The sequence below is a fragment of the Homo sapiens genome, chromosome 11, assembly GCF_000001405.40.
Source record: "Homo sapiens chromosome 11, GRCh38.p14 Primary Assembly".
Classification (NCBI taxonomy): domain Eukaryota; kingdom Metazoa; phylum Chordata; class Mammalia; order Primates; family Hominidae; genus Homo; species Homo sapiens.
The window spans coordinates 114,058,536-114,073,370 of NC_000011.10; the positions used below are offsets into that span (position 1 = coordinate 114,058,536).

At 52.9% G+C, this 14,835-nt stretch overlaps 1 protein-coding gene across 7 annotated transcripts in view, besides 1 other annotated feature; it reads left to right on the forward strand.

Moving 5' to 3' along the window:
* Window positions 732-1,026: a silencer, noted in NCBI's record as "tiled region #5585; HepG2 Repressive non-DNase unmatched - State 21:Repr". NCBI's record gives its function as "represses a minimal TATA promoter and a strong SV40 promoter by Sharpr-MPRA in HepG2 cells {active_cell/tissue: HepG2}" and the evidence as "EXISTENCE:reporter gene assay evidence [ECO:0000049][PMID:27701403]".
* Window positions 1,176-14,835, forward strand: part of ZBTB16 (zinc finger and BTB domain containing 16) — a 197,060-nt gene continuing 183,400 nt past the window's right edge. For 3 of the 7 annotated variants that reach the window (NM_006006.6, XM_005271658.6, XM_047427563.1), the window contains exons 1-2: window positions 1,176-1,347; window positions 4,676-6,033. In NM_006006.6, the coding sequence (NP_005997.2) occupies window positions 4,766-6,033 (1,268 nt within the window). In that variant the 5' untranslated portion in view covers window positions 1,176-1,347; window positions 4,676-4,765. Of the gene's footprint in view, window positions 1,608-1,706; window positions 1,760-1,971; window positions 2,050-4,675; window positions 6,034-14,835 lie in introns of those variants that run through there. The other 4 variants (NM_001354750.2, NM_001354751.2, NM_001018011.3 and 1 more) reach the window with 4 other exon arrangements.

The following is a 14,835-nucleotide window of genomic DNA, read 5'->3' on the forward strand; positions in this document are numbered from 1 at the left end:
GGCTTCGGTCAGAATCCACAGCCCGTGCCCGAAGAGCGCTTCCCGCCTCTGGCACCCTACCTTCGCTCAGCTCCAGGGAAAAGGGGAGAGGGCAGCTTTCTGCAGTCAGAGGAAGAGTACATTTTCTTTGGCTGCTCTACCCTCTGAAGTAGGGCGGCCAGCTGAAGGAGGACACACTTTTGAGGGGCCCAGAGGTTGTCCAAGCTTCCCCCTGCCCCCTGAAGACTGTGCACTGAGCTGGGCGCAGTTCTCGGGAACTGTTTCCACCCAGATTGCTGGGGGGCGGGGGGGTAGGATGAGGGCAGAGCCGAGAGGCTGTCCAAGGTTTGGGAGAGAGAAAAGTTTCTCCCAGGACTCGACCTTGGCCTCCAGCAATCGCGACAGCTAAAAACGGGTGTCTCGCTTCGACAATAGATCCCCGCGGACCTTCTGGCACCTGGTTCACTAGCGCCCGCGAACTCTGCCTCGGGAGACTTATTGAAATCCGGATGCTCAAGCCGGGAGGCGCGCAGTAACCAGGAGGATGAGAGGGCCGGGTTTGGGCTAGGAAAGCGGCCTTTTAAAACAGATGTCAGGGGGACTGCAGCCCCGAGCCATGAGAAAAAAGTTAAAGGCGAGATGACACGCACTGAATTGGGGCAAACATTGGAAGAGGAGACAAAACTGCGTGCTTGAGCACCGGGGTGCGGGGAGGGGGGGACAAAACCCGTATCCAGTGCAAATTAAAATCTTGGGAGTAGGTGGGGGCTGCTGCGCGCCCTTCACCCTCAGTTCCCCTATTAAGGATTCTGAGTCCCCATGCACTCCTGTCCTCTGGCTCCTTCCTTCCTCTCCGCTCGGCCGGTGAGAGGCGGCCGCCGGCGCCCCAGCAGCAGCTAGATGTCAGGCGAAGCCCGGAGCGCGGAGCGCGGGGAAGGGAGGGGAAGGGAGGGGAGGGGAAAGGAGGGGTGGGGCGGGGAGCGCGCGCGGGCTCGGCCAGTGCGGGGTGGTGGGCGGGCTGAGCCCGGGGACGGCGCGGGAGGGGGGAGGGAAGGGGGGCAGCTGTGGGCAGGGAGCCGGGCTCGGCCGCCAGCACTAAAGATGGAGAGGCGCCGGGGCCTTGCAGGGGAGGGGGCTCGGCGTTGACGTGGGACGCGGCGGAGGCGCAGCAGCCGGTGGTGATTTGCTAACCTCGCAGCAGAGAGGAGTTGAGGGCGATGAGAGCGGGTACTGCGAACTGCCGGGCGATGCTGTCGCTGCCGCCGTGATACGGAGAGCAACAGTTCCCCAGCAACACCCCTCCCCGACACAGGCACACACCCCCCGACAGGCACGCACACCCACCCCACAGTGCCCGGCTCGGCTGCGGTGAGTGAGGGGCCGGGAAGAGGCGCACCGCCCAGCGAGCGCCGCGCGCCGGGGCTTCCCGGGGCTGGAGAGGTCTGGGGGGCGCGCGCTCGCTTCGGCCACTCGGCCGCTGGGCTTGTGCCTTTTTTATTTGGCGTGTTCCCTTCCTGCCGCTGCAGCCGTCGCCGCCACCGGTTGGGGGTCGGCTAGAAGGGGGAGCCCCGGCTGTCAGCCTGGGCGCAGCTGCCTCCCCAGCCCTTCCTCTTCAGGGCACGGTCGGGGTGAGAGGTGGGGGGCGTAGCGGTGTGCGGGGGCTGAGGGCGTGAGCAGAGGGGTCGGGGATCCGGAGGCTTTGTACCGCCAGGGGCTGGCGGAGCAACAGAGCCCGTGGGTGCTCTTATGTATGCGGACCGGTGCGCGGGCGCAAGATAAGGTTGTGGTTTATTTATTTGTGTGTTTATTCGCCGGCCGGCTGGGAAGCTAGAATCGGAGGAGCTGACGAGTAGATCTGGGGGCGGAGGGGAGCAGGACTGGGACTGCTTACGTTTTGTTTCTCTTTGAGAAAACGTGGTGGGCTTTTTCTTGATTGGACTTGATCCCCACCCCCCTTTTGCAGGGGAGGGAGGGAAGCTCCAGAGGGTCTGCAGCGCTGCGGGCCCTCCTCGGCTCTCGGCGGGACCGGCGGTGACACCGGAGCTCGCCGTGCGCTCCCGGCCGCTCTCGGTGGGTGCCGGTCTCTGCACCTGATGCGTTCGGGATGCCTTTCCCACCCTGGCGCGCCCGCCGCTAGCTCGCACAGCGCCTCGCACACTCCCGCACGCGCTTGAAATGCGCACGGTCCCGCCGGCCCGCGGAACCACCCGGACGCACGGAGCGCTCCGCACCGACTCGCTCGCCGCCTCCCCGAGACGCTCGCACCGTGCTTGGGCCGGGCGCGCTGGCCGCTGGCGCCGCTGGCCAGAGGCCTGGGACCCAGCCGGTCGCTCCCAGGGGGTCACGGCCCTGGGTCGGAGAGGGAGGGCGGGCAGACCCCTTCTCGCCTTTCCTCCCACAACTCGCTGCGGGGCTTTTGTGCTTCCCCTTCGCCGCGGGGCGGGTCCGCCTCCCCTGCCGCTCTCGCCGCGGAGTCCAGCCCGCCCGGACTGTCGCCGTTCCTCCCCGTCTCTTTCGCTTTCCCTCGTCCCTAGCTCAGCTCTCCTTCTTTCAGGAGTCTAGCTCCTCGGGAAAAGTTGCTTCCCCAAGTTTGCTGAAGTCGTCTCCAAGTCTCGGTGGGGGTCGCTGGGAACTGGGGGGGTGTGAGAGCGCGGTCGATCCCCGGAGCTCGGGCGGGTTATCGCCGGCTCTTCCCCGCGCCGCCTGGCTGGACGCTGCAGCCAGCGCCAGCCGGATCGCGGGCGCCGAGCGGCGGGTGGGGGAGACGGCTGCCCGTGGGCGCCCAGATTTCCCTCAGGACCCAAAAGGCTTGTTTCAGGGCGCCAAGCTTCCATTCTTTTGGCTGTTCCCTCCTAGTTCTCAGAAACCCCGATGTCTGCGGGAAAGCACGCGGTGGCTCGGCTCGGCTGAATGCTCATCCCAACCTTGACGGCCTCCGTCCCCACCCCGGGGCGGGCAGCAAAAATGTCTTGACCAGCCGTCCTGTGAATCCTTTCTGCGTGAGCTTGGTGGCTCCTGAACTGATAGAGCTCCTTCTGGGGGTGGAGGCAAGCAAGCAGTGTTCGAAGAGTGAGGGAGAGACCTTGCTGTTCCTTGCTCTCAGTGCATTCACTGCAATATTGGTCGCTGTAAGACAGACACGGGGAGGGTCCTGGGCCTGCGCGGTCTTTCTAACACTCCTGTAAGCGAGGTTTGGAGTCTAGGAGCCCTCTTATTGATCCCGAACAGGCTCTGGGAGAGGCCTTTGTTTCCCAGCCCTGTCTTCCCTTCGTACTGGTTGTAACTCACACCACAGGTGCTGGTGCCAATATCACTTCCAGCGCCTCTGAGCCATGTCCAGCATCCCTTGCTGCCCCTGGTCACAGGACTTGCAGACTCCTTGGAGCCTGTGGGACACACGTGGAGTTCACACACCCAGCCCAGCATGAGCACTCCTGGCTGTAGGGGACCATATTTAACTATGGTCTCTCTCCATACCTTAATGACCCATCCTTCTTCGTTTTTTAGATCCTCCTGTCCACCGGGCAGTTGTGGGCAGGAGGGTAGGTACGACACCTTACGTAAGTGTGTGTGTGTAAACACACACACACTTTTTTTTTTTTTTCTGAGACGGAGTTTTGCTCCTGTTGCCCAGGCTGGAGTGCAGTGGCACAATCTCGGCTCACGGCAACCTCCGCCTCCCGGTTTCAAGTGATTCTCCTGCCTCAGCCTCCCGAGTAGCTGGGATTACAGGCGGGTGCCACCGCGCCTGGCTAATTTTGTATTTTTTGTAGAGACGGGGCTTCTCCATGTTGGTCAGGCTGGTCTCGAACTCCCGACCTCAGGTGATCCGCCTGCCTGGGCCTCCCAAAGTGCTGGGATTAGAGGCGTGAGCCACCGCGCCCTGCCCCACACACTCTTTCTGTCTGTCTCTGGCTGGTGTACATACACACAGTTCAGATTTTATATTATACATACAATAACTTTGAGGCTTCCGTGGGTAGAAATGACCCAAGTTAGTGTGTGGGTTGTGTGTGTTCCTGTTAGTACCTAGGGATGGGGACAGGCCTTGGGTCTGCCAGTGCTTTGCAGCCCTGAGAACAGTAGAAGGCCAGAGGCCAAGGCTGATGGTGAGAGGATAGCCTTTGCGGAGGAGAGCCCAGTGTCCATAGATTTCTGTGGCCATGGCTACAGGCTCCTGGCCTCCAATGAGTTTGACTCTGCTTCTGGGGCTCCTGTAGTGAGGCAGAGTTTGGAAAAACTGTTTAAAGATAAGGCTTGACATCCAGGGGGCTGGCGTGAAGCTGACAAGGAAGGGGCTAAAGTCTTGCTAATTTTAAGTAAGTGCACTTCATCATAATGAATGTTGGCCTTGCCTAGGGAGCCCCTACTCTCAGACACAGAGAAAGCTGAGGACTTATAGGACTTCACTACAATTTTCATTTCACTTCATCTAACAGATGTCATAGAGTAGTGAATTAGGCATCTGCTGTGGCAGAACCTTCTTTTTACTCTCAGCATCCCTGGCTTGAAAGGCAGATTTGTAGATTTCTAGGAAGCTACTTCAATTAAAATCTCTAAGATCCTCTTGCTAAGGGCTTGGCAACAGGGAGGAGGGGGCATGTTGTAGTGGTTGAATTCTTACTTTTAGGGACACTGATGAATTTGTCTTTTGTTCTCTCATCTCTTTTGCTTCTTCCCCTCTTCTTTCTCCTAGCCTCCTCTATTGGCCCAGGAAGCCCACCCAGCCCCGCCACGCAGAGCCCAGAAGGAAAGAAAGCCTCATGCCTGAGCCGAGGGGAGCACCATGGATCTGACAAAAATGGGCATGATCCAGCTGCAGAACCCTAGCCACCCCACGGGGCTACTGTGCAAGGCCAACCAGATGCGGCTGGCCGGGACTTTGTGCGATGTGGTCATCATGGTGGACAGCCAGGAGTTCCACGCCCACCGGACGGTGCTGGCCTGCACCAGCAAGATGTTTGAGATCCTCTTCCACCGCAATAGTCAACACTATACTTTGGACTTCCTCTCGCCAAAGACCTTCCAGCAGATTCTGGAGTATGCATATACAGCCACGCTGCAAGCCAAGGCGGAGGACCTGGATGACCTGCTGTATGCGGCCGAGATCCTGGAGATCGAGTACCTGGAGGAACAGTGCCTGAAGATGCTGGAGACCATCCAGGCCTCAGACGACAATGACACGGAGGCCACCATGGCCGATGGCGGGGCCGAGGAAGAAGAGGACCGCAAGGCTCGGTACCTCAAGAACATCTTCATCTCGAAGCATTCCAGCGAGGAGAGTGGGTATGCCAGTGTGGCTGGACAGAGCCTCCCTGGGCCCATGGTGGACCAGAGCCCTTCAGTCTCCACTTCATTTGGTCTTTCAGCCATGAGTCCCACCAAGGCTGCAGTGGACAGTTTGATGACCATAGGACAGTCTCTCCTGCAGGGAACTCTTCAGCCACCTGCAGGGCCCGAGGAGCCAACTCTGGCTGGGGGTGGGCGGCACCCTGGGGTGGCTGAGGTGAAGACGGAGATGATGCAGGTGGATGAGGTGCCCAGCCAGGACAGCCCTGGGGCAGCCGAGTCCAGCATCTCAGGAGGGATGGGGGACAAGGTTGAGGAAAGAGGCAAAGAGGGGCCTGGGACCCCGACTCGAAGCAGCGTCATCACCAGTGCTAGGGAGCTACACTATGGGCGAGAGGAGAGTGCCGAGCAGGTGCCACCCCCAGCTGAGGCTGGCCAGGCCCCCACTGGCCGACCTGAGCACCCAGCACCCCCGCCTGAGAAGCATCTGGGCATCTACTCCGTGTTGCCCAACCACAAGGCTGACGCTGTATTGAGCATGCCGTCTTCCGTGACCTCTGGCCTCCACGTGCAGCCTGCCCTGGCTGTCTCCATGGACTTCAGCACCTATGGGGGGCTGCTGCCCCAGGGCTTCATCCAGAGGGAGCTGTTCAGCAAGCTGGGGGAGCTGGCTGTGGGCATGAAGTCAGAGAGCCGGACCATCGGAGAGCAGTGCAGCGTGTGTGGGGTCGAGCTTCCTGATAACGAGGCTGTGGAGCAGCACAGGTAGGCCCCGCTCCAGCCCCGCACCTGATGTAGGACTTGAGGCCCTCACACCCCTCCTTCACACCCTGGCTGCTCCCAAGTTAGGGGCCTGGCTCCCCTGTCTTGGCAATTTGTGAAAAAACCAGAACACTTCTTCTAAAGTTCTGGCGGGGAGGGGAGCAGGTTTTTTAAAGTGTAGTGAGGGGGCCTAGGATCTTTCCAAAAAGCACCAGGGGACACTCATGGGCGCAGCTTCTTAATAGGCCCTTCCCTTTGTTTTTTGCTTTTGGGCCCCTGTTTGTTTTTTCGGCTGTTTGGTCTGTTCTCCTTTGCTTGGAGTGACTGATAAAATGGAGAGAAGGAGAAAAGGAGTGGGATGAGGGTCTCTTGGGCCCTGCATCTGACCATGTTACTAGGTTTCAGGTCCTCGGGTTCCCATGCAGTGGTCCCTGTGAAGACAGCCTGTCCCTTTCTGCAGCTTGGGAGAATGGGAGGGTCTGGGGGCTGCTTAAGCCACAAGAGCAGCTGCAGGTTCTGAACCTTATTCCTGGTGAAAGTTAATCTCCTTGCTCTGTCTCCCTTCTCATTCTCTGATCCTGCACATGCATTTAGGGGGAATTGATTTAAATGCAAGGGGAAAGGATGGGTATAAGAGTCTTGGTCTTGCAGCCTGTGAAGTCTCATTCTTATCCCATCTCTGCTCACACTGAACTAAATGCCGCTTCAGGCTAGCATTGGCTTCCCTCCGGCTTCCGTTTCCTTCTCTATGAAATAACCATTCATTGAGCTCTTATGACATGTTTGGTTCAGTACTAAGCACTTTCCATGAGTTGCATTTTCATTACAACAGCCCTTTGAGATAGGTAATGTCCTTCTTTTTTTTTTGGATGTGAAGTTTCGCTCTCCTTGCCCAGGCTGGAGTGCAATGGTGTGATCTCTGCTCACCGCAACCTCTGCATCCCGGGTTAAGGTGATTCTCCTGCCTCAGCCTCCCGAGTAGCTCGGATTACAGGCACGCACCACCATACCTGGCTAATTTTGAATTTTTAGTAGAGACGGGCTTTCACCGTGTTGGTCAGGATGGTCTCGAACTCCCGACCTCAGGTGATCGGCCTGCTTCGGCCTCCCAAAGTGCTGGATTACAGGTATGAGCCACCGTGTCCAGCTGGTAATGTCCTTCTTTTACATGGAACAATACTAAGGCTCAGATGTCAAGTCTCTTTTCTAGGGTCACATAGATAGTAAGAGGCAGAGCTGGATTCAAATTTAGGTCCTTACCCCCTGGTACTTTGCTGCCTCTTGGAGTCACTTAGACTTGAAGAGGATCATGTCTATGGAACAGAGCGTTTTGAAGATTGCTTATAGGAAGTGGAGTAAATAACAGGGGGGATAAGTAGCGAGTTTGTTTTTTTTTTCCTTGCTTCTGTCATAAACCACGTGCCCATCATTTTATCCTCTAGTTTCTGGGTCAGATGAATGGAGTCAAGAAATCCAGCTTTCTGTTGTCATTGACGACAGCATTTGGCTGCATACCCTGTGGTCTGCTGTTTTGCTGATCTTGGGTGGATTCTCCACTTCCTCCCCCTTCACCCCCATTCCCCTGTTGCTCGTTCAGGTACGGGGGATGTGAGTGAGAGGGGTTGGGGTGGGGATATCTGGAAGTTGATCTCATCACCCCTAGCCGGAATCTGCTCTGACCCTGCCTCCTCGACAGCTCAGAGGCTTAACTTGTGGAAAGTGTGGCAGAGCTAAACGTAGCCGACTTTTTCCAGTGGGTGCGAAAAATAACCGCCACTAAGGTGTGTCTTCTTGATGCTTGTACCGCTCAGAAATAGACTGAGGTTGTGTTTGTTTTTGCTCAAACTTTCCTAAAGAGGAAACCCGCTCCCCAAAGTTGACCAGATAGATGTATCATCTTTCCGGATGTGAATTATTTCGGCTGTGTGCTATGAGAACTGGGTATGGTGGGAAGTAATTGTTTTTCTGGCTCTCATCAGGTCCTGGTTCCTGGTTGCTTTTCTTTACCCGAGAGGGCCACAAAAGATACCACTCTCCTGAGACTTCCAAGTTCCCCTTCAGCAAGACCCTCATTCCTCTGGGGAGAGAGGGAGAGTTGGCCATGTTATATTCGAAAGAGCCTGGGTATTGGAATTGGCCATATTTAGTGGTGAGAGCCTGTGATACTTATTTAACCTTTCTGGGCCTTGTTTCACTCACTACATTTTTTTTTTTTTTTTTTTTTGAGACGGAGTCTCGCTCTGTCACCGGGCTGGAGTGCAATGGCGTGATCTCAGCTCACTGCAGTCTCCACCTCCCGGGTTCAAGCGATTCTCCTGCCTCAGCCTCCTGAGTAGCTGGGACTACAGGCACCTGTCACCCCGCCCAGCTAATTTTTTGTATTTTTAGTAGAGACAGGGTTTCACCATGTTGGCCAGAATGGTCTCGATCTCTTGACCTTGCGATCCATCCACCTCGGCCTCCCAAAGTGCTGGGATTACAGCTGTGAGCCACCCCGCCCGGCCTTCACTCACTTCTTAAAATGGAGACGGTCAACAGGGTTGGTGCTGAATTAATGAAGTAAGATCCAGAAATCACTAGAGCTGTGATGGGCACATAGTCACCGCAGCGGTGGAGAACTGACCATCTGTCCCTTGTGTTGTTTAGGCCTCATCTCTGCATGGTCCTCATTGGCTCTGAGTTCTAGTGTGTAGTGTCCACAGTGCCACCCTCCATGAGGGTTGTGTTGACTGTGAGGTGGTGCAGAGAATGTCCCTGTCCTTGTGAGCATATGACAGCAAGACACTGGCCCTGGAATCCTCCGTGTCACATGTGGGCTGCTGACAGGAAGAATGTGCTTTTGTTGTTGTTGTTGTTGTTGAGGCAGAGTCTTACTCTGTCGCCCAGGCTGCAGTGCAGTGGCATGATCTTGGCTCACTGCAACCTCTACTTCCCGGGTTCAAGTGATTCTCCTGCCTCAGCCTCCTGAGCAGCTGGGACTACAGATGTGTACCACCATGCCCGACTAATTTTTGTATTTTTAGTAGAGATGGGGTTTCACCATGTTGGTCAGGCTGGCCTGGAACTCCTGGCCTTAAGTGATCCACCTGTCTCGGCCTCCCATAGTGCTGGGATTATAGGTGTGTGCCACCCTGCTGGGCCGAGAATGTGCTTTTGACTGAGGGTGGAAAGTCAGCAGCTGCAGCCCAAGAAGTTAGAGCCAGGGGCAGTGCCTTTGATGGGAAGCTTGGGGGTCTAAAGAAATCAGAAAGGGGAGAAAATAATCCTGCGTGTGCTCAGCCCTCACTCAGATCAACAGCCCCTCGGGTCCCAGCTAGATGTACTTTGTAGAAGGCTTTTTTTCTCCCCCTCACCCTCAAAACTCCAGGATTAATGTGCTATTCCCTTTTTTCTACTGTTCTCTGTCTCCCCCCAACCCATCAGCAGTCTGAGAAATGCTATGGTGGAAAAAAAAAAACAACAGCCCTATAACCAGTACAAACAAAAAGCCAAGACAAAAAAAAAAAAAAAATCAGAAGGGGAGATTTTGAGGCCAGGAAGCCATGGCATTCACTGGAAATATATCAGTGATAAAATAACAGGCTACAGGGTTTATTTTATTTTATTTTTAAGTCAATAGGCCTGAGTGTTGGTAAAGACTAGATACCCAGCAGTCCTTCTTGCATTTCTTCTTGGGGTGGGGGGGCAGAAGGGAATGGAGAGGAAATGAAGGCGGATTGCTGGTAAGTGAGGCAGGAAGGCAGGGAGTTTATTATGGAATGTCATCGGTAAGTTTCCCCATGATTTGATCCCAAGCTGGTGTGGAGTGAAGGGTAAGCTGTTGGCTCAACAGATAGTGAGAATCAAACTTAGTGGAGTTGTAGAGCCTGTTTCCTGCAGCGGACAGCAAGATGTACAAGCCGTCCACTGCAGGAATGACGTGCTGTAAAAGGGATGCAGTGTCAAGTGTAGTCATGGATGGGTGGGAAGACCAGACAAAGGCATCCAATGGGACTGACTTACCTAAACAAACCAGAAGGAAGTCAGAACAGTGGGAAGATCTGATAGATAAGCAGTATTCTGCAGGCAGATGAAGGAGCAAGCTTTGGGCCCCCAAATCTTCACCAGTGCATCCACATTACAGAGGATAATGCCTGAGGGAGGGGAAGATCATCTCAGGATTCTGGAACACTGGGCCCTCCCTTTCTTATTCCAAAAGGCTGGAGCAGTTCTGCATGTAGGCTTCTCTGGAAATGGTCTAGGAACCAGCTCATCCAGGCCAGGAGCACCTGATCATTCTCAGAGTTACGTACATATGCGATAAGATTGCAGGGAACAGTATAGTTCTATAGACTTAAGTGTGAACATAGTCCTCATTTATAGTCCCTAGTCTCCCATGGCTCACGCAGCTTGGTCTTTATGTGTTTCTGAATTTAGTGCTGCAGAGGCACAATGGGGTCTGGTTTCTGGATCTTATACAGACAAGCACTTAGGTCAGCTGCAGTGGATGTCCTGCACAGACACCGTCGCAACTCTTGCCTGGTTCCTTTTTGTTTTTGGAGATGGAGTCTCGCTCTGTCTCCCAGGCTGGAGTGCAGTGGCGCGATCTCAGCTCACTGCAAGCTCTGCCTCCCAGGTTCACGCTATTCTCCTGCCTCAGCCTCCCAAGTAGTTGGGACTACAGGCACCCGCCACCACGCCCGGCTAATTTTTTGTATTTTTAGTAGAGACAGGGTTTCACCGTGTTAGCCAGTATGGTCTCGATCTCCTGAACTCGTGATCCACCTGCCTCGGCCTCCCAAAGTGCTGGGATTACAGGTGTGAGCCACCACGCCCGGCCTATTGCCTGGTTCTTGAAGGGATTCTCAGGAACCACAGGGAATGTCTGAGCCAGCTTTCTGGATCCGTGTGTACAGCCCTTCCCAGAGGCTTTGTGGAGCCAGCTGTACGGTGCATGAGCTTTGTGGCTAAGATATCAGAGTTCTGCCTGGCCCTTGGCCTTGGTCTCTCTCAGATGGTCAGCTGCTCTGTTTTTAGTGGTTGATCATGTAGAAGGCCAACAGGTGTTGACCTTGGTTTAGGCTACTTTTGGGATTTTTGAGGTTTCCTGAGACTCTTGGTTTTCTTTCATCATCCCGTCCAGAACCTCTGATGTCAAACTAAATTCTGTTTGGAAAAGGGTATGCTGTAGAATAATGATAGCCACAGCAATGATATTAATAATACCTTTTATCGGTTGCAGCATTTTCTTCTTTGCAAAGCACCTCTAATGACTTTATCTCTCTTGCCCTCACAGCCTTCCTTGAGTGGGTACAGGTCCATAATCCCATATCTGTGATAATGAAGTCTGAAAAGCTCTGAAAACTAAAAAGTTTGCAGTAAACTCATTTAGTGGCAAAACCTGATCTGAACTGATGTGAGGCTATATTTATCCTGCTTAGTTTGAATATTCATATGTTTTGCTGCAAAAATATTAATGTGTTTGATTACAGAGTGCTGCCCTAGACTCTGCTGGGGCTGTTAAACACGATAGGTGTCAGAGTACCTTTCTTTTTTTTTTTTTTTTTTTTTTTTTGAGACGGAGTCTCGCTCTGTCGCCCAGGTCGGACTGCGGACTGCAGTGGCGCAATCTCGGCTCACTGCAAGCTCCGCTTCCCGGGTTCACGCCATTCTCCTGCCTCAGCCTCCCGAGTAGCTGGGACTACAGGCGCCCGCCACCGCGCCCGGCTAATTTTTTGTATTTTTAGTAGAGACGGGGTTTCACCTTGTTAGCCAGGATGGTCTCGATCTCCTGACCTCATGATCCACCCGCCTCGGCCTCCCAAAGTGCTGGGATTACAGGCGTGAGCCACCGCGCCCGGCCCAGAGTACCTTTCTAAAGTCTGAACAGTTTTGGTCGTTGAAGCACCTGAAGGTTTTGGATAAGGGATTATGAACGATTATCATTCTCTATTGACAAATGAGGAAAATGAGATTTGGAGCAAGTAAGTGACTTCCCATGGTCACACAGCTATAAATGGGTAGAACCAGGCACTCAGCTTGCCTTCTAATTCACAGTCCTGGGCGCTCTGCACCAGGCCATATAAGAACATGAGCATTGCTCTTCTGGGTCAAATCCATCTGACCTAGTCTTTGGTTGCCATCACCATGCCTAAGATACCACCATTGGAGGCTACAACCATCTTCCTTGACGTCAATCCTAAAGGTCAGGTGTAGCTTCTCTTAGTAGCTATTTATGGCTGCCTTGTCATTCACAGATTTGCCAAAATCCTTTTTGAATCCATTTCCATTTCCAGGAAGTATCCTTTTTAGGGGTGATGAATGACAAGTTTATAATCTCCTGGGCTCCTGGAAATCTGGTCTTTTGGAGAGAGGTTGTTGGTTGTGAAGATAGGAAGATGGCAGAAGGCTTTGTAGTGGTGAGGCCAGGTCTAGACCTAGCTCTGCGTTTTTCAGCTCTGTCACCATTGACATCGTTTTTTTCATCGTGAGCCTTAACTTCTTCATTTTTAAAACTAGGCACTTCAGTGAGCTCTTTCTGGATTGTTGCGCTCTTTAAAAAATTCTTTTATTCTTTGTGTACCCACTTATATCTTCATGAAGTCCTTTTGGTTAATTGAATTTTGCTGTTTTGGAATCTGGATTGGCAGTTCAGCCAGTTAAGTAGGGGGTCAGTTTGATTTGATTCTGTGTGTTCTGACTTTTTTTTTTTTTTTAAAATACTTTAACCTGCTTAGGGTTACTGAGCCATCTGGGATCTAGACTGAACTCTTGGAACTTTTGAAGATGATTTCCTTTATTTTATTTTCAATGGAGGAAAGTTGCCCACTCTTTCATCTCAGTGAGAAGTCCCATTTTAATTTGCCATCACTATTGGATGGAGCCGCTAATTGCTGGGAGGGAGAAAGCTATAGTTTAGCAACACGTTTTCCTCCTGCTCGTTCTAGGAAAACTATTATGAATCTTTAAAATAGTGATTATCCTAAACTGTTAAAATCAAATTCTATTCACAGCTCTTTGATTTCTTGCTAATTCAGGAGAGAAACTTTTCCAATCACTTTAATTTTTTTTATTAATTTAAAGCAAGCCCTGCTGAAAGCCCAAGTATATATGACTTAGAGTCTTACTAAATGAATACAGGTGTGCCTCAGTTTGTCCATTGGAGGGTTTCTGAATTTTCCATAACTAAAGATTTTCTATTCTGTTTTGGCTGGGTGTGTGGGGTGAAAGCTCTTACTCTCTGGCAGTTATTTAAGTAGTAAGAAATTTGCTACAACTCTTCCCCACCCCCACGTTTTACAGATAGGAAATGAGCACTTTGACTGTCCAGGTCAGACTTCTGATTTTGCTACTTACTAACTGTGACAGTGGTTGTGTTACTTAACTTCTGTGTGCCTGTTTGCTCATTTGTGAAACAGAAATAATAGTAGTACCTACTTCATTGGGTTGTTATAAGGATTCATCAGAAAATATTTATCCTGTGTGAGGAACGGTGGCACAAAGTAAGTGCTCCATAAGTGTTTGCTAGGGTATTTTTCTTGTCATTGTGTGAAGTAGGTCATGCTAGCCATGCAGGGTGAAAAATGTGTTCATGTTGGTCCAGATCCTGCTTTCTCCCTGAGACCGTTCTTCCGCATAGGCGTCAATCCGTACAGTGCTGTAAAACTGCTGCCTCGGGCACCTCATGTTTGGGGCTGAGACATTGCTTCTGCGTCTTCCCCAGAAGCTGATCTCTTGTACTGTGGTGGCCAGGGTACTCTTTGTCCCATTGACCTGAGGCCTGGTGAGTCATTCCAGTTCTCGTTTAAATTTAGCCGGGCAGCGCTCCACTGCCATCGGGTCCAAATGCCGGGGAGGCTCACTGATGCGGTGTCCTGTTGCCTGTGCACGTGGCCAGGCGTGCACATCACTGTGCTTATGAGAGAGATGAAGAGCACAGATACCACCTTACTGATGGGGGTCCTGGGGCTGGGCTTGTGGGTGTTGGGGGTTCCAGAGCTCCTTCCCTTTCCTGCCTGTCAGTGCAGGATGCTTCTAAAATGTGGACTCAGCAGACATTGTTTTGAGTGCTTGCTACATGTCAGATTCTGTGCTAAGTGCACTCACAGCCAGCATCTCTGTAAGACCTCTAGCTGTCCTGTAAGGTGGGTATCAGTTTCACATTCTCAGATGGGCGGAGAGAAGCCCAAGAGGTTAGTGGACTTTTCTCTAGTAAAGAGTTGTACAGGCCGGGCGCAGTGGCTCATGCCTGTAATCCCAGCACTTTGGGAGGCCGAGGCGGGCGGATCACGAGGTCAGGAGATCGAGACCATCCTGGCTAACACAGTGAAACCCCGTCTCTACTAAAAATACAAAAAATTAGCCGGGCGTGGTGGGGGGCGCCTGTAGTCCCAGCTACTCGGGAGGCTGAGGCAGGAGAATGGCGTGAACCCGGGAGGCAGAGCTTGCAGTGAGCCGAGATCATGCCACTCACTACACTCCAGCCTGGGCAAAGGAGTGAGACTGTCTCAAAAAAAAAAAAAAAAAAAAAAGAGTTGTACCAGGATTTATGTTCAGGTCTTCTGGCTCCATGCTCTCTGCAGCTGGGTGACCAGGGGGCTCATGGCTTCACCAGCTCTGGCCTCCTCAGTTCCTCTGGTGGCTTCTTGCGAGGAGGAAGGTTACTGCAGAGGGTTCAGCTCTTTAGGGGCCCAGGCCGCATGGATCCAAGGACTAGTACGTCATCTCTTACCAACACAGAGAGATCAGCTTCTAGTGATAGAGGCCTTTTATGCTGACTTGAAAAACAGAAAAAGAGAGAAAAAAGAAACCCATTTACAAAAATAA